The following is a 19,685-nucleotide window of genomic DNA, read 5'->3' as shown; positions in this document are numbered from 1 at the left end:
AATGACACAAGGCCACTCTTCAATTCCATACCCAAGAGAAACATGACCAATACATTATGGCACTGAAGCTTGACAAAGTCTCAGAATCCTTCTCAACACTGTGGTCCAGGCAGCCATAGTCAGAGTTAGCAGATCACCGGGTCAGAATTATTTACTACAGAATGCAAGGAACAAAGAAGGCTCATGTTGGGTACATCTCACTCCTGCAGTCAGGAGTTTTGATCTTCTGGCACAGTTAGGCTGACACCCTTGCACACGCAAAGACCCTCTGGCATCATTACCCTCCATTGCCCTTAACGCGACCCCAGGCTCCAAATCCTTTTCCAGCTTTACCCCTGAAGACAGCTGCCTTCAATTCCTGCGCTTTTCTGTGCACACGTCACTTCCCTGTTGAGAGGTAAAGTGTATTCCTCCACTCCTTTCAATCCGAGCTGCTCTGTGACTGCTCGGCCAATGGAATATGGCAAAAATGCACCGTGCCATGTGGGTCCTAACCTTTAGAAGAATTAGCAGCTTTGCTTACTCTCTCTGGGGAGCCATGAGCTGCCATGTAAGAAATCTAGTGACCCCACTCAAGAGACCACCTGGAGAGACTGGATGGAAAAGGAGAGGCCCTGTGACTATAGGGAGAGGGAGAGAGGGGGAGAGAGAGAGAGAGAGAGAGAGAGAGAGAGGCAGGCCCAGCCATCCCAGTGCCCCAGCTGAACCCAGTCGTCCAGCTCTTCATTGCCAAGGTCTCTGACCCAAGAGCAAAACATTCCTAGGGCTTCTCGACCAGCCCAGACATGAGCTGAATCCGAGTCAACGCCGTGTGAGGCAGGGAACTGCCCCACCAAATTCTCCCCAAATTCCTGGCCCAAATAATCATAAGCAATAAAATAACTGTTCTCTTCAGCCGCTGAGTTTGGCATGGGTTCTACTGCAGCAACAGATAACCAGGATGATCTGTTCACGGGACCCACTCCAAGGCAACTACAAGTGCTCCTCAGGGCTCTGGGTTCTTACCCTGATCCCTATAAGTACCCTGGCCTTACCACGTCCAACCCGAATCAGGGACCTGCATCCTGGACCAAGACGCCACACTTCTGATCACCCACAGCCTGGGCCTCAGCTCACCACCAATTTCCCTCCTTTAAGCTGACATGTACAATTTCTCAAGAACTCAAGTTAATTACTGACTTCCAGACTCAAAGATTCCAAGTGTTGTCTATTTGTTATTCTATTTTTAAGGAATACAAAGGGCAAACTCCCCCTCCTTCTGAGGCTGGTGACTTCGAGAGCTGCAGCCAGTGACTGGTTCAGATTTACAAAGACAAGCCTGCAGGCCTGCTGCAGATAACCCTCGCCCTGCTCCAGCCACGGGCAATCGTGGATCGGGGAGGGGCTTGTCCTGCTGAAGTTTGCCATGGCCCTACACTTCACAGGTTCCATCTGGCTCATTTTATAGATGAGGAAACTGAGGCTTGTCGATGAAGCGTGGCTAGTTCAGGGTCACAGAGGAAGTGGGTGGAGACTGCAGCAAACACCCACCCTGAGTCACAGTTCAGGAGTGACTGCTACCTCCCTCCACCTCTCTGCACTGACAGCTCCAGGGAAATGCTTCTTTTGCACACGCTCCAGCTTGTGCGTGTCCTTTAAAGTCCCCTTGGCTTAAGCCACATGTGCAGTCAAGCATAGACTTGCTTATGCTTTGGGGTCTTTATGCAGGAGTTCACTGAAAAGCTCACCCTAGGCAAGAGCAAAGAGACCCTTTCCTCTGTTTTTAACTTTCCTTCCCATCCCCTGTCACACATACACACAGTAGCTCGGGGCACAGTACATGTTCTGGTTTAGTAGTGTGCACATGGACCCTCTGCCCTTTAATTAGGTTGGACTGCAAATTCTGGTGCAAAGCCATTAGGAATGAGCCTTGCTGGTTTTGTCTTAGGAAAAAGGGCAGTCCAGATCCCTTGACCAATATCCATCCATGATGAACATCTGGCGTGGACCCTGGTGTCTAGAAATGCCTTTAGCTGTCTGACCCCAGCTTGAATGCTAAGGCTTGGAGGCATCCCAGAGAGACTCGGCAGCTGGGAAGAGGTCCTCAAACAACAGTTACTGTCACAAGGCGTGAATGGAAATTGTTGCAACATATACTTTTTTGTGTGTGTCTTTTTTCTTTTTACAACATGTACGTTTTATTTTAAATGAAGCCTTCCTCCCTGCCAGACACTGTACTAGGTGCTTTGCAAATAGGTTATCACCTTTAATTCCCATAACAACCTAATGAGGTAGCCTCTCATATCTCTACTCTTTTTTTTTTTTTTTTCAAGACGGAGTTTTGCTCTTGTCGCCCAGGCTGGAGTGCAATGGCGCGATCCCGGCTCACTGCAACCTCCACCTCCCAGGTTCAAGCGATTCTCCTGCCTCAGCCTCTGAGTAGCTAGGATTACAGGCATGTGCCACCACATCCAGCTAATTTTGTATTTTTAGTAGAGACAGGGTTTCACCATGTTGGCCAGGCTGGTCTCAAACTCCTAACCTGAGGTGATCCACCCGCCTCGGCCTCCCGAAGTGCTGAGATTACAGGCATGAGCCACCACGCCTGGCCATATCTCTATTCCTTATAGATGAGGAAACTAGGGGTCAAAGAAGCCAGAAACAAGCTCAAGGTGACCAGTAAGCTGCAGAGCCGGAATTTGGATAGAAGTTCAGCCAACTCCAAAATCCATGTTCCGCATGGATTTTGCACTAATAATGACGCTGATTTATTGAAACTTTATTTAATACCACAAACCTGCACTAATTTACTTAAACTTACCTCCACATCATTCACTAGTGTAATTCATGTCAAATACGCAAAACTGTCACCCATGTGACAGTCTCAGAGTGCTACTGGGATCACAGAAATACAGTCCAGCAACCAAAAAGGGAGTTCGAGTAGTTCATGCTCTTTACATGCATTTTTCAAACCAAATTTCGTGGACCAGTTATTTTTCTTTGAATTCCCTTTTACCTCTAAGCCACTTCCTTCACAGGTTCTTCACTTTTCAACATTTAGCCCCAAATCTCCTCCCCAACATAGGAACAGAGTCAGGGGCGAGCAGCCGCTCCCCTGTGCACACTCTCCAAAAGTGGCTCCTTTTCAACCAGTTTTTAGAGAAATGTGTTGATGTGACTTTCTTTTTTTTGAGATGGAGTCTCACTCTGTTGCCCAGGCTGAAGTGCAGTGGCGTGATCTTGGCTCACTGCAATCTCTGCCTCCCAGGTTCAAGCGATTTTCCTGCCTCAGCCTCCCGAGTAGCTGGGATTACAGGCGTGTGCCACCATGCCAGGTTAATGTGTGTATTTTTAGTAGAGACAGGGTTTCACCATGTTGGCCAGGTTGGTCTTGAACTCCTGGCCTCAGATGACACACCTGCCTTGGCCTCCCAAAGTGTTGGGATTACAGGCGTGGGCCATCGCACCCAGCCGACATGACTTAATGGCCTTGGAAAAGATACTGAAGGAAGCTTGGTAAAGGCAAAGCCCTAGAGTTGTCGGGGGAGGTGCTTCTTTTGAACCCACATTTCCCTATCATTTAAGTTGTGCTGAAGAGAAAATTGGCCCAGGACAAACCCTAGCTCTCACCTTTTCTCTCACCTTTTATTTTATTTTTTTTCCTGAGACAGGGTCTTAGTCTGTCACCCAGGCTGCAGTGCAGTGCCATAAGGCTCACTGTAGCCTTGACCTCCTGGGCTCAAACTATCCTCCTGCCTCAGCCTCCATGTAGCTGGGATCACAGGCATGCACCACCATGCCCAGCTGATTTTTTGCTTTTCTGTAGAGATGGGGGTCTCATTTCGTTGCCCAAGCTGGTCTTGAACTCCTGAGCTCAAGCAATCCTCCTGCCTCAGCCTCCCAAAGTGCTAAGCCACAGCAACTGGCCTTATTATTATAATCTTTAAAAATAACTGCTGAAGGCCAGGTGTGGTGGCTTATGCCTGTAATCCCAGCACTTTGGAAGGCTGAGGTGGGCGGATCATGAGGACAGCAGTTCGAAACCAGCCTGGCCAACATGGTGAAACCCCGTCTCTACTAAAAATACAAAAATTAGCCAGGCGTGGTGGTGCGTGCCTGTAATCCCAGCTACTCGGGAGGCTGAGGCAGGAGAATCGCTTGAACCCGGGAGGCGGAGGTTGCAGTGAGCCAAGACTACACCACTCCTCTCCAGCCTGGGCGACAGAGTGAGACTCCATCTAAAAAAATTAAAAAAAAAAAAAAAACAAAACACATTTGCTGAGGACTACCCAGGCCATCAAGATCCAAGTTGCAAAGAAAAGACAACATACTGGGCTTCCCTTAATGGGTTATCAGAAAAGCACACAGTTAGTTCTGAGCTGAAGGTGACCCCAAATTGACTTTGGCCCAATACCATGTGAAAGTCTAGTCTCAGACCATCGTGTTGCACAATTCTAGAGGGCTCCATTCATGATGTAGACTGGGTGAATTTTACTTCCCTGAATTGGTCAGTGCATAATGTACATGGTGGCCCAACTTTACAAATAAATCATGATTTTCAGAAATAGCATTTCCTCTTAGGACAAAACAGAAGCATCAATTTCTCCTTGAAATAACTCTGAGACCTTTGGAGGATCTTCAGTGGATGCAAAGTGAAAAAAGAAAGAAAGAGCTTTGGGGGCTACAGAAGTCAGTTGAAAAAGAATAAGCATAATTTAAGCCCAGAAGACAGCTAAAGAAAAACAAACGGCCAGGCTCCTGCCACGTGGCCCCTCTTCTAGGACACTGGTTTCCCATGGGCCATTTATGGTTGGGACCAGATGCTGTAAATGAGGGGTATGCAGTGACCACTGCTGTCCCCCCACCATCTATTCCCGTGATGTCCAATTTTAATTTATAATTGTGGGTGAGTCATATATGTGCTCAGAGGCGGGCAGGGAAGGGCCAGAAAGGGCCAGGGACTTAGATAAATAGGCTGCAAAAGATACAGTGAAAACGCCAGACCAAAATTGAAGAGACTGGACTTGATTGGTTCAACTACATGGGTATGCCCTTCCTGCCTCCCCCAACCTAGTATTATTACGTATCTCTTGAGAATGAGGGCCCGGGAGCTGCTGTTACTATCAAGGTGGGAGTAAGACAGCTCTCATATATTTTGGGACGGAAAAGGAGCATCTCAGAATTGGTTGTTTCAAGTCTCTTCTAAAACTGAACATCCTGGCTGGGCATGGTGGCTCATGCCTGTAATCCCAGCATTTTGGGAGGCTGAGGCGGAAGGATCACTTGAGGCCAGGAGTTCGAGACCAGCCTGGGCAACATAGGGAAACTCTTGTCTCTAAAAATAATACAAAAATTACCTGGTCATGGTGGTGGGTGCCTGTAGTCTCAGCTACTCAGGAGGCTGAGACAGGAGGATCACTTGAACACAGGAGTTGATGCTACAGTGAAGTATGACTGCATCACTGCACTGCAGCCTGGGCAACAGAGTGAGGCCCCGATAAAAAAAGCAAGTTCACTTTTGCAGTAGCTCCACGTGGGTGTGGCTCTATCTTTCTATACAGACTGTATTACTCATATTAGCCATAATGAAATACTGCAGACTGGGTGACTTGTTGCAGAAATTTACTTCCTCCATAGTCCTGAAGGCTTAAAGTCCAAGATAAAGGTGCTGCCAGGGCTAGCTTCTGGTGAGGCGGCTCCTCCTGGCTTGTCACTTCCTGCTGTGCCTTTCTTCTGTGCGTGAGCAGAAAGAGAGCAAGCACTGGTTTCTCTACCTCTTCTTCTAAGGACACCAGTCCTTTTTTATTTTTTATTTAATTAATTAATTAATTAATTAATTTATTTATTAAACTTTAAGTTCTAGGGTACACGTGCACAACATGCAGGTTTGTTACATATGTATACATGTGCCATGTTGGTGTGCTGCACCCATTAACTCGTCATTTACATTAGGTATATCTCCTAATGCTATCCCTCCCCCCTCCCCCCACCCCATGACAGGCCCCGGTGAGTGATGTCCCCCTTCCTGTGTCCAAGTGTTCTCATTGTTCAATTCCCACCTATGAGTGAGAACATGTGGTGTTTGCTTTCTTGAAGGACACCAGTCTTACTGGATGAGGGCCCCACCCTTAAGATCTCATTTAACTTTAATTACCTCCTTAAAAGCCCTACCTCCAAACATGGTCATGCTGGGGGTTAAGGCTTCAACACATGAATTTGTAGAGGGGCAGGTATAATTGAGTTCAAAACAGAGGTTATAGGTCTAGGAAGGAAATGACAGGATTGCTTTTTTTTTTTTTTTTTTGAGATGGAATCTCGCTCTGTTGCCAGGCTGGAGTGCAGTGGCACGATCTCAGCTCACTGCAACCTCCACCTCCCAGGTTCAAGCGATTCTCCTGCCTCAGCCTCCCAAGTAGCTGGGATTACAGGCGCCCGCCATCACACCCAGCTAATTTTTGTATTTGTAATAGAGACGGGGTTTCACCATGTTGGCTAGGATGGTCTCGATCTCCTGACCTCATGATCCACCTGCCTCAGCCTCCCAAAGTGCTGGGATAACAGGTGTGAGCCACTGCATCCGGCCTGCTTTTGCTTTTAAATAACTCTGCCCAGGCTCTCTCTGGTAGCTGCTCACCGTGCTCCTGGCCCCAGTCAAGAGGCTCCTCCCCACTCACCACATGCCTACCTGCTGAACTGTGCTTCTCCGCCTCCCCTGCACACCAGCCCCTACTGCCCATACCAGTCCTGCCCCCTTCAATAGATCCCCATCTCTCCCAGATGTAACCTGGCCAAAACCTGTCCCCACTGCCTGCTAAACCTGTTCCTTATTCGTAAACTGAGGTCTTTGCTGAACCTATTACTCCATGTGCTTTGTCTACAAGGAAGCTCAGAGTCAAAACTACATCTGGCCACTAGCAATGTACACAGGACCATACAGCCAACATCTTGGCCACCTCATTCATTCATTCAACAAATATTTATTGAATACCTACTACATTCAGCCGTTAATCCAGTTGTGTGGGATCCATCAGTGAATAAAACCAGCAAATAATCCTTCCCCTTATAGAGGATTTTTGGTGGTGGTGTTGTTATTTTGAGATGGAGTCTCGCTCTGTGGCCCAGGCTGAAGTACAGTGGTATAATCTTGGCTCACTGCAACCTCCGCCTCCCAGGTTCAAGCAGTTCTCCCTGCCTCAGCCTCCTGAGTACCTGGGATTACAGGCACCCACCACCACGCCCAGGTAAATTTTGTATTTTTCAGTAGAGATAGGGTTTCGCCATGTTGGCCAGGCTGGTCTTGAACTCCTCACCTCAGGTGATCCACCCAACTCAGCCTCCCAAAGTGCTGGGATTATAGGCGTAAGCCACCATGCCCGGCCCCTCTCATAGAGTTTACATTCTTCCTATCCTATTCTTCTTGTTCATACTTTCTCTTTGCCCTGATTTCTTCCATTTCTAAAATATTTATTGTCCTGTGTCTATTTCAGTCATATTGTATTTGACAGTATTTCCAATCTTATTTTATTATACAAATCTATAACTTATGGTACTGTATATTTTTCGTAAGGGTCTAATTGCCTTTAACAATAATTAGATGGAGTTACTGTAAGAAATAAATTAGATGATATGTATAAAATACCAAGCACATTGTAGGAGCTCAATACAAGGTAGTTTTCTGTCTTTTTAAATCCTAGATATTTAAGACCAACCTCAAATTCTATCTCTTTCTAGGAGTCTTTAATGGCACCAGAAAATGCAAGGATTTTCTCTTCGTTTTCTATCTTCTTAGTACAAATTCATCCAGCATGTTGACACCCTGTTATCGTCTTTCATAAATTATTCTCTAATTCTGTCCCGTGTGTGTATCAGGCTTCCTTGGGAGTAGACGGTAAACTTCTGGAGGGAACAGAGCCAGTAGAGTGAGTGTGAGTGTGTATGTGTGTGTGTGTGTGTGTGTGTGTGTGTGTGTGTATACATGTATTTTTTGAGATGGAGTCTCACTCTGTCGCCCAGGCTGGATTGCAGTGGCACAGTCTCGGCTCACTGCAACCTTCGCCTCCTGAGTTCCACTGATTCTCCTGCCTCAGCCTCCCAAGTAGCTGGGACTACAGGCATATGCCACCACACCTGGCTAATTTTTGTATTTTTAGTAGAGACGGGGTTTTACCACGTTGGCCAGGTTGGTCTCGAACTTCCAGCCTCAAATGACCCGCCCACCTCGGCCTTCCAAAGTGTTGGGATTATAAGCGTGAGCCACCGCACCCAGCCAATATTCGTAATTTGCACAATATAATCCAGGTTTCTGTAAGAGCCGAAGTAATGTGCATTCTTTGATTCTTACTCTCTATTTTATTTTTAAGATCTGGCCCTCTTTGCCAAACAATACCAGTTTTCTTAATTTAGGTGAGGGGAGTTCTGCATGTAAAAGGGAATTTGATTTCCATTGCTAGAACACATTCATCATTTAGCATGGGGAAAAAGGCAATGATAGTTCCAACAAAAGAAACATTTCATGTAATTCAGAGCAAAGGGCAAGAATATTACAGTATTTTCTATAATAGGAAAAATCTGCAGTCAAAATATTTGATGAAAAGAGCACTAGTTAAGTCAACTGTGGCGTGTCCACTGGATGGATGCACTTATTATTTTAAAGAAACACATTTTGAAGGGTCCTTACTGAAATGAGAAGGTACACACAGTGTGCTGTTTGTTGTGGGAAAGGCAGTATATGAAATGTAGACTATGATTCCAGTGTTATAGACATTCTATTTACATATATACATACACACAGGAGAAAAAGATTTAGAAGAAATGTCTTAGAAATGAACAGTATTGGCCCGATGCAGTGGCTCATGCCTGTAATCTTGGCACTTTGGGAGGCTGAGGTTGGCAGATCGCTTGAGCCCAAGAGTTTGAAACCAGCCTAGGCAACATGGTGAAACCCTGTCTCTACCAAAAATACAAAAATTAGCTGGACATGACAGTGCATTCCTGTAGTCTCAGCTACCAAGGAGGCTAAGGAGGGAGGACTGCTTGAGCCTGGAAGGTTGAGGTTGCAATGATCTATGATCGTGCCACTGCACTCCAGCCTGGGTGATACAGCAAGATCAAGAAAGAAAGGAAGGAAAGAAGGAAGGGAAGGAAGGGAAGGAAGGAAAGAAAGGAAAGAAAGAGAGAGAGAGAGAGAGAAAGAGAGAGAAAGAGAGAGAGAGAGGAGAGAGAGAGAGAAAAAGGAAAGAAATTGAGCAGTATCTATGGGGGTAAAATTATTTATGAAAATTTACTTTATGTTTATACAGTGATTTCTTTTACAATCAGGAAAAAAGAACACATACTGTGTTGAAAGCTGAAGTCAAATAAGGACCTCTAGGCATCACTTTGGGGACAGGCGCTGCATTGGGCAATGTGAGAATGACCAGTTATCCTGCTTGGGGTCTGGCTTTTACCCCAGGTCCTAGCATGCAGAAAGTATTCCCTTAAGTCAGAGGGACACATTTCTTTTTCTTTTTTTAATTAAAGTTCTGGGATACATGTGCAGAACGTGCAGGTTTATTACATCGGCATGCATGTGCCATGGGTTTGCTGCACCCATCAACCCGTCATCTAGGTTTAAGCCCCGCATGCGTTAGGTATTTGTCCTAATGCTCTCCCTCCCCTTCCCCCCGACCCCCCGACAGGTCCCGGTGTGTGATGTTCCCCTCCCTGTGTCCATGTGTTCTCATTGTTTAACTCCCACTTATTAGTGAGAACATGCGGTGTTTGGTTTTCTGTTCCTGTGTTAGCTTGCTGAGAATGATGGTTTCCAGCTTCATCCATGTCCCTGCCAAGGGCATGAACTCATTCTTTTTTATGGCTGCATAGTATTCTATGGTGTATATGTGCCACATTTTCTTTATCCAGTCTACCATCAATGGGCATTTGGGTTGGTTTCCCTAAAGCACTCTGTAATTCAGGCTTTCCACAAAATCTAATGGCCGCTCTTTACAATTAAGGCAAAAGCTTCTCTGAAAATAAAAACAAGTGCTTTGTTCTTCCCATTCAGAGAGCATGAAGCCCAGTGCTCTTCTATGTATGAGTGGAGCTGAGAAGACCAGCTGGTGACCAGTGGTCATTCCCAAGAACAAACAGGGAGGGCCACAGGAAGGAAAGCAAATGTGAGGGCAGAGGCCATCCTCAGTCAGGCCCTCTCCCCTGCCCCGGCAGACTGAAGATGGAATTCATAGCTCCCTGATTCCCCCAGCCAGCAGCCATGGCAGTATTTTTAACAAGGCATAAAACTTGCAATTCTATTAAAAACACATGTCTCTTGTTTCAAAGGACTGTTAGCAACAGCCACTGGTAGTCAGTAAACACACTATCAACCAGGGAACACACTCATTCGACTCTGAGTCTCAAATGCTGAGTATTATATGTTTTACAAAGAAACACTGGGTCTTCTGGCTGGAAGAAATTTCGAGATAATCTTGGCCTATCTCTCCGACTTCTAGAGACTGTTTAACCTGCTTGAAAACACTAACCTTTCCTATTCTTAACCATTTTGCAAAGAAAAGAGAGAAGATCAGTAGGGCAGACTTTTTAAAGGCAGGGTAGGGGGAAGGAACCGCAGAGTGGGCAAAGTGGAACCTGAGGTCTGGAAGGCCGACTTCTGCCCTTAGATCCATCATCGTCAATGCATGTCCTTGGGAACTGTATGGGCACCTTTAAAATAAAGGGAGAATCGGACTGGTTGAACTCTCAGGTCCAAGGCCGAAGGTAGGGAACTTGAGCCCTGCTATGTCAAACCCAGCTTTAAATCTCTTTCACCGCTTAACAGCTATAGTAGTTTAACTTGTCTAAGACTTAGTTTTGCCATCTGCACAGCAAAGGAAAACAATGATGCCTCCCTCATGGGATGGCTTAAAGATTATATGAGACAAAGAAAAAAAATGCCACTAACAAAGGGCTTGGCACATAAAACTCCATAACTCTCACCCCCTCTCTACTCCCAAGAGTGCTGCCATGAGCCCATGAGAAAGTAAATATGAAGAACAAATGAGCCAGGGTTGGGGATGTTGGGGATAGAGAGACAGCCAGCAAATCACTGAGAACTGACTGTGTATCTATAAGCGGCAGTTTCTTCAGGAACACAGGCCATGTGGCTGCTTAGAAGCCAGTTCCATGCACACAGATTATCAGGCATTTAATTGTTTCCCCTCAAATCCTGATGTCTGAGGTGGAGGGGAAAGCAGGGAGGGAACCTCCAGATCAGATATTTTAGACTCCAGGAAAGGAAACAGAAAGCTCTATTTATCTGGGCTCCCCAGCTTGCTAATTAACTTACGGACTGGAAACTATTCTCGTGTGTCGGCGCCTGCACATCTTCTCGTTATTAGGGAAACATCTGCTCATTATCCCCATGGTTTCCGAATGTGAGAGAAAACCAGAGTTGCGTTCCCAGATGCAAATGTGTGGCATCAAAGCTGCCTCGGGGACTGGTCGCCCCATGCACAGTGTGGGGCTTCGGGAGATTAGAGGTAGTGGATTAGAACAGGCAGTGGGTTTTCTAAATAAGACAGGAAGAAGGCTTTAGGATGTGGAAGGGATAGTGAGCAAAAAGACACCTGTGTGTATAGCTAGACGTCTCCCATTGAATAGGTCAGGAAAAAGGACTTCTCAGCCAGGCGCAGTGGCTCACACCTGTAATCCGAGCACTTTGGGAGGCTGAGGTGGGTAGATCAATTGAGTTCAGGAGTTCAAGACCAGCGCGGGCAACATGGCATGTCTTTACAAAAAATACAAAAAAATTAGCTGGGCATGGTGGCACACGCATGGAAGCCCGGCTATTTAGGGGGCTGAGGTGGGAGGACAACTTGAACCCAGGAGGTGGAGGTTGCAGTGGGCTGAGACTGCGCTACTGCACCCCAGCCTGGGTAATAGAGCGAGACTCTGCCTCAAAAAAAAATATATATATATTTTCCAGGCCTGCCCCCTTTCCATATAAAATTCAGATTTTAGCCATGGAACAAATATTCATGGAGGATCCGCTGTGTGCTCAGCACTGGGTCTGTACAACAGCTCAACCCTGGAGAATGGAGACTCAGGTGTCAGACGGCAAGTGGCTCCAGCACTGGAAGCACACCTGTCCCCCCTTGGGCACAGCCAGAGGCAGCCTGTCCTTCAGCTGATGACTGTGTCCTACGGACAGAGGGACTGGGAAGAAGACAGCCCCCCAGGAGATGGGAGCCCACTTTCAGAGACGTCTAGCTCCTGACATTCGGAAGAACTCCCTTCTTTTTCCCCTCCCAAGCTAAGGTCACCAAGTCTCCTGGTCTACCCAGGTCTGAAAGGTTTCCTGGGATGTGGGACCCTCCTATGCTAATGCCATGGCAGTCCTGACAAACTAGGATGAGCTGGTCACCTTAAAATGTCCTATCCTTCTTCCCTTTTCCTCCTCAGCCATGTAATGGCTTCACCCTTCCCTCACTGGGAAACTATTATCAAACAGCTTAACATTTTTCCATGCCTCAGTTTCTGTATCTGCAAAAGGGAAAGGCTATAAGACTTTCTTTCACAGGGATGTTGGGGATCTTAGCAGGCAGGGCCTTGCAGGGAATGCGGCAACCCTGGCCTGAACAAACTGCACACAAGGATGAGACAGGGGCCACCTAAGCAGGACATGGGTGGAGGAGAAAGGAAGCAGGGATATAGGAAGGGAACAAAGGGAGAGGGGATGAAAGCAAAGACCTCCAACTCCTCATCAACCACTGGAAATCATCTCTTTAACACACGCATCCCAAGCTCATCCTCCACCAACTGCTGGCCAGCCCTTTCCTCACCCCACCTCCTCCTCAGCCTCCACCTCTGTCTCTCCTCCCTCCTGCCTCCTGAAAGGCCCCACCATACACTCCTGGCCCCGAAATCAGGCATTATCATCTTGGCTTTCTTCCTCTTCTACTCCCTCTAGGCCTAACTTGCCTTCTCATCATATGGTGTCCTCCTCCCAATCTCTCTCACATCTCGTGTCCCCCAATCCATTCCCACGGCCTCTGCCTGGCTCTCATTCGAGCCAAATCACCTGTGCACTGCAACAGACTCCTGTCTCCATCTGTCCCACTCCAGGCTGGCTTCCACTCTTGAAGCCAAAGTGTGGTCCTTCTAACTCACAGAGCTGATCCTTAAGATTCTTCAAGGGTTCCCCAAGCTTTCAGGATGGCATTCAGACTCTTTAGTTAAATCTCCCAACCTCCTTTCTTCTTTTCTTTTTAAATAAAATAGAGGGCCAAGTGCGGTGGCTCATGCCTGTAATACCAGGAGTTTGAGACCAGCCTGGCCAACATGGTGAAACCCTATCTCTACTAAAATACCAAAAAAAAAACAAAAAAAAAACAAACAAAAAAAAACAGCCAGGCATGGTAGTATGCCTGGAATCCCAGCTACTCAGGAGGCTGAGGCATGAGAACTGCTTGAACCCGGGAGGTGGAGATTGCAGTGAGCCAAGATCACACCACTACACTCCAGTCTGGGTGACAGAATGAGACTCTGTCTCAAAAAATAATAATAATAAAACAAATAAATAAACAAGTTAGAGATGGGGTTTTGCCATGTTGCCCAGGCTGATCTCGAACTCCTGGGCTCAAGTGATCCACCTGCTTCAGCCTCCCAAAGCGCTGGGATTACAGGCATGAGCCACCATGCCTGGCCTCAACCTCCTTTCTAATCTGGCACTTCTGAGCTCCCCAGACCATGTCTTTGCCTCTCACTCCTAGCCTCAATTTTAGCCATAATGAACCACAGGTACTTTCCTGAACAGTCTGTGCTGCTTCGTGCCTCTGCCTTCAACATTCAGCTCAAAAATTCCTTCCTCTGGGAAGCCATTCCTTAGCCCACCCCTCGCCCACCACCTTCTTGAGATTTTTCTGATTTAGATGCTCCTCTTTTTCCCTGCCCCAGTACCCTGCACCACTGCACTTACCACAATGAACGGGACGGGTTGGGTACGTGTCTTTCTTCCCTACCAGAATATAAAATCAGTGAAGACAGGGTCTTCACAAATACTAGACTCCCTATCCCTAATGGCAGCTCAGGGCTTGCAGCGTATTACAAATATCTGTTTAACAAATGGAGGAAAACTAGCAGCCTTGTCCACGCACAACAATACCAAACCCCAAAGCAGGTTCATGGCCAGGGTCAGATCTTCTCCACTGCTGACGGAATAGAAAATACTCTAGGCAAAGACACATCCTCTGCCTGCCATTCCAGCCCTGCCACAAACCACAGCAGGGAAGACGGATGGGGTCACAAACCAGGTGGCTCTGAAGGCAGATGACCTCAGGCTGCCGCCCGAATCTGCAGGTACTTCCTTGTGCAGGTACTTCCTCGTGTAACCTTGGGGCCACCTACTTAATTCCTGGGCCTTGGCGTCCTCATTTATAATATAAGGAAAATAATAACACACATCATGATATTGTGATGAGGAGTAAATGGAATGATGTATGTAAAACATTTAGCACTTTGCGGACATTCAGCGCTGGTTCCACCCAGCCTTCTCTTTTTCTTTTTTTTTTTTTTTGAGACAGAGTCTCGCTCTGTCGCCCAGGCTGGAGTGCAGTGGCACAATCTCGGCTCACTGCAAGCTCCACCTCCTGGGTTCCCGCCATTCTCCTGCCTCAGCCTCCCGAGTAGCTGGGACTACAGGCGCCCGCTACCACGCCTGGCTAATTTTTTTTTGTATTTTTTAGTAGAGATGGGGTTTCACCGTGTTAACCAGGATGGTCTTGATCTCTTGACCTCGTGATCCGCCCACCTCGGCCTCCCAAAGTGCTGGGATTACAGGCGTGAGCCACCGCACCCGGCCTTCTCTTTTTCAATATTGCCAGAACAGAGGCAGAACCTAGTAAAATTCGTATTCACAATGCACTCAGGCAGCTCCTGCTGGGTGAGATTCAATCTAAGAAATAAGGAAGGGGCCGGGTGCGGTGGCTCACGCCTGTAATCTCAGCACTTTGGGAGGCTGAGGCAGGATCATGAGGTCAAGAGATCGAGACCGTCCTGGCCAACATGGTGAAACCCCGTCTCTACTAAAAAATACAAAAAAAAAATTAGCTGGGTGCGGTGGCACGCAACTGTAGTCCCAGCTACTTGGGAGGCTGAGGCAGAAGAATCACTTGAACCTGGGAGATGAAGGTTGCAGCGAGCCAAGATCGCGCCACTGCACTCCAGCCTGGTGACAGAGAGAGACTCTGTCTAAAAAAAAATGATAAAAAATGATAATAATAATAATAATAAAGAAATAAGGAAGGAGGTAGAGACTTGCTTTCTGGACTGCAGCCCAGAGGCGCTCAGCCACTGCCAGGGCATCCCAACCAGACCCAAAGGTCTCGTGGCTTCTTGGCTTGAAGGGAGGTTGTATTACTGAGCACAGTAATCTCAGAGGTCTCCTGGTACCATGGAGCAGCTGGAGGGGCTTCGTGCCAATGTCCTCTGCCCCTGCCCTGCTGGTTCAGGGCCAGAGGAACAGATTGGGCAGTGGGCTCCTCCTCACTTTGGAAATCACTATTTTCTGCAAAGAGACACAGAAGAAAGTCTAAAAGAGAACATGAGGACATGTCAACAGTAAGTGGTTATCTCCAGGGGCAAGATTCCAGGTGATTTTTAAATCTTCTTTATGTTCTTTCCGATTTTCTTTTTCTTTCTCTTTTTTATTTGGAGATGGAGTCTCACTCTGTTACCCAGGCTGGAGTGCAGTGGCACGATCTCAGCTGACTGCAACCTCTGCTTCCAGGGTTCAAGTGATTCTCATGCCTAAGCCTTCTGAGTAGCTGGAATTACAGGTGCCCGCCACCACGCCTGGCTAATTTTTGTATTTTTAGTAGAGACGGGGTTTCACCATGTTGGCCAGGCTGGTCTCAAACTCCTGACCTCTGGTGATCCACCCACCTTGGCCTCCCAAAGTCCTGGGATTACAGGTGTGAGCCGCCACGCTCAGCTGTGTTCTTTCCTATTTTCTAAACTTTCTACAGTGAATGCTTCTATGGTCTGAAAACAGGCATAAGGCCCATATTATACTTAATAAAGGACCAGTTTCTCTGGCCTTTCTCAGGCTGAGAGCAGGCTGGCCCCCAGGCGAGTTATGCCCCTATGAGCACAATTAAATTGTAACATCCCGTCCTGTTCTGAAGTCTCTGGCAGTGGAAACTCAGAACTCTGTGGCCTGGGATTCAAGGAGGCTGCAATGACCCTGGAACCTTCAGATGAACAAGCAGAACCACTAAAGCCTTTGAGAGGTGAACTGAACGATGACTGTCTCTCCAACATAGGATGGAGGCTCATTCAGCGTACCTAAAGCTGTCCCTATTGGTCAGTGCTTGTAGGGGAGAAGGGCCTAGAGTTGGAAATTGTAAAGAGGAGAAAGGGGTTGAGGTTAAGAGACTTCACTGTGTGGCCAAAGGACAGGTTTCTAGGGAAATGTATCCTTTTTGAAAGACAGCAAGGGAGAGAACCATTGCAACTTGCCGAAGCCCCTCAAGTCTCTTGTGAAGCGTATTTTCAGCTCAATTAAGGAGAGGTGGCCAGGCACAGTGGCTCACACCGTAATCCCAACACTTTGGGAGGCCAAGACTTGTAGATCACTTGAGGCCAGGAGTTTGAGATCAGCCTGGCAATAGCGTGAGACCTCTACCCCCATCTCTACAAAAAAAACAAACCATTAGCTGAGTGTGGTGGTGTGTGCCTGTAGTCCCAGCTGAAGAGGCTGAAGCAGGAGAATTGCTTGAGCCAGGAGTCTGAGGCTGCAGTAAGCTATGATTGTGCCACTGCACTACAACCTGGGGGACAGAGTGAGACCCTATCTCTCAAAACAAAAAAAGGTGTGGAAGAACTCCTCCCATAGTAAAACCCCCTTTCCTGCACCCAGACTTTGTTGTTTCATTCATTCGCTCACTCATTCATTCATTCATCAGTCACTGATTGAACCCCTCTAGGTGCAGATGTTACATCCCATCCACATGCTGTATGATTAACTGGGACCTTTCTCTCACTATTCCCATCACCACCAATGCTCGAGGAAATCTTAAGGAGTAATAGTGGTGGGGCATTTGTTTTGCTCAGTGGGTGTACAAGCTGAGGGGGGCACTGGAATGCTGGAAGTCTTAAAGAGGCTATGGAAATAGAGAAGGGTGAAAAAAAGATAAGACAGCTGGCAAAAGAGGAGAACTTTGGGGAAGAGAATCAAAAGATGCCTAAGGTAGAATTTTGAAGACGTTATGCACCTCTGTCTCCCTCGCCATGTCTTCAGAAAAACAGACACCCTTCCCCAAAGGCTTCTGAAGTTGAACTGGGTAGGAACCATGGAAGTGCTACATTCTGCTCTCAAGATAGAAGGCAGGTGAGAACAAAGGCTGACCAAGGAGACCCAATCAGATCTTTATTACACCCAAATAAAAAGAGGCTGCCCCTGCCTGGGGGTTCATGGTGCAGCGGAAGGACGCCCTGTAAATAAGCCAGCCCCTAAGGTGGTGTGCACCAAGAAGGGAGCTGAGAGGGCCTTGGGCACAAAATTTCAGGAGCATCAGAAAACTCAGTCTTCAGGACGACTCATATTTCAATGCAGCTTTTGACAAAATCCAAGTTAGTACAAAAATGCATGATGAACAAACTGTCAATATTTTCAATAAAAACTGGATTTGAGAACAGGACTGGGATTACACTGAAGTAAGTGAAACTGAGCTGTACAAGTGTGAGGTCAGATTCTGTCTTGATTTCAAACATAAATATTCAGTTCAACCTAGATTTTCTGGCATTAATTTTTATTTTTTGAAATGTGGCATCAAAATATCATTGACTTTGATGACTGAGGTTTTGGCAGCCCCCAAAATCTAGATCTCCTCAGCAGCCCTGAGCCGGGGGCACCCAGGAACGGGCAGACCAAAATGTTTCTCTGAAGACACAGTATTCAAGGTGGACTTGGAAGAATCAGCAGGATGGGCTGCTCTGCCTATGGAGTAGCCGTTCTTTATTCCTTTACTTTCTTTTTTTTTTTTAATTTGGAGACGGAGTCTCGCTCTGTCACCCAGGCTGGAGTGCAGTGGTGCGATCTCGGCTCACTGCAACCTCCGCCTCCTGGGTTCAAGCAATTCTCCTGCCGCAGCCTCCTGAGTAGCTGAGATTATAGGCACACGCCACCACGCCTGGCTAATTTTTGTATTTTCAGTAGAGACGAGGTGTCACCATATTGGTCAGGCTGGTCTCGAAGTCCTAATCTCAGTTGATCCGCCCACCTTGGCCTCACAAAGTGCTGGGATTACAGGCGTGAGCCACTGCACCCAGCCTATTCCTTTACTTTCTTAATAAACTTGCTTTCACAAAAAAAAAATAAATAAATAAAATAAAATAAAATCCAGGATGTAACATATGAAAAAAAAAAAAGGCATTTATTGTAAAGGCAATCTAGGCCAAGGCCCAGCCTGTATAGGGACTGGAAGGACAGAGTGTGTTTGGGGAAAGACGCAGCCACAGTGCATACCTGGAGTGCCCAGTCCCATTTCCTCTCCAAGGCCTCCTTCCTCACAGGTGCTGAGGCTTCAGCATCTCGTGAAGCATCTCCTACACACCAGGTAGTGTGGATTCAAAAACACGAGAAAATGTAGAGATACAATCACTACCCACAAAGAGCTCATGTAAAGCCAAGACACCCTATGGCTGAAGACAGCCAAACCTGTGGTTGTTTCCAGCTTTTAACATTCTGCAAGCATTGTTTTTTGTTTTTTTGTTTGTTTTTTGAGATGGAGTCTCACTCTGTTGCCCAGGCTACAGTACAGTGACGCAATCTTGGCTCACTGCAACCTCCGCCTCTTGGGTTCAAATGATTCTCCCACCTCAGCCTCCCAAGTAGCTGGGATTACAGGCACTGGCCACCACGCCCGGCTAATTTTTGTATTTTTAGTAGAGATGGGGTTTCACCATGTTGGCCAGGCTGGTCTTGGAACTCCTGGCCTCAAGTGATCTGCCCACCATGGCCTCCCAAAGTGCTGGGATTGCCACCGCACCCGGCCTACAAGCACTGTTTTGTTCCTGACATTCTAAATGCTAACATGATTACGAAGCATTTTATTTAGGAGTGGCGTACATTCTACCATTGTCTTTAAAAACAATATTCAATCCTGGGCAGTTATGACGCAGTTAATGATGATCCATTTCAAAAAGGGCTTTGACATATGAAATCCCTTTTGCTCCTCCTCAGCCTGGGAAGCAGGAAGGAGTTAGTTCTCTCATGTCTCATTTTCCAGGTGAGAAATCTGAAATTCAGCATTTAAGCAACTTCCTCAAAGTTTTCTGACCATAAGGGCAGAGCTGGCACTAGAATCCAAGTCTCCCAGCTCCTGAATAGAGACTGACGGTCCCTTCATTAACTACATATGGGGAATATGCCAGCGAACTGGAGAGCAATTTCCTCCCAGTTACATCTAAACTTTGCTAACAAAGTAACTCCTGGCTTCAAGCTGATCTCTGGAAGCCACGAGTGCACACAGACACTTTGGGCTTGACTCTGAGCTCCCTGCTGGGGATGACAGGAGACTGTACAGCCCCAAAGCTTCATCACTGAAGGAGACAGAAAAAAAAAAGTGCTTTTCGGCCAGGCGCGGTAGCTCACGCCTATAATCCCAGCACTTTGGAAGGCCGAGGTGGGCAGATCACGAGGTCAGGAGTTCCGGACCAGCCTGGCCAATATG

At 47.1% G+C, this 19,685-nt stretch overlaps 1 protein-coding gene across 6 annotated transcripts in view; it reads right to left on the bottom strand.

Annotated features, from left to right (window-relative positions):
• Positions 1–19,685, bottom strand: part of PDZD2 (PDZ domain containing 2) — a 471,802-nt gene that overhangs the window by 397,807 nt on the left and 54,310 nt on the right. For 4 of the 6 annotated variants that reach the window (XM_011513992.3, XM_011513994.3, XM_011513996.3 and 1 more), the window contains exon 1: positions 1,035–1,087. The exons of the other annotated variants lie outside the window; for them this stretch is intronic. The gene's annotated coding sequence lies outside the window, so the exon portion shown is untranslated. Of the gene's footprint in view, positions 1–1,034; positions 1,088–19,685 lie in introns of those variants that run through there. 6 annotated transcript variants of the gene reach the window in all.

The sequence above is a fragment of the Homo sapiens genome, chromosome 5, assembly GCF_000001405.40.
Source record: "Homo sapiens chromosome 5, GRCh38.p14 Primary Assembly".
Classification (NCBI taxonomy): domain Eukaryota; kingdom Metazoa; phylum Chordata; class Mammalia; order Primates; family Hominidae; genus Homo; species Homo sapiens.
The sequence above is the reverse complement of the archived record's forward strand: the minus strand, read 5'-3'. Positions and strand labels throughout refer to the sequence as shown.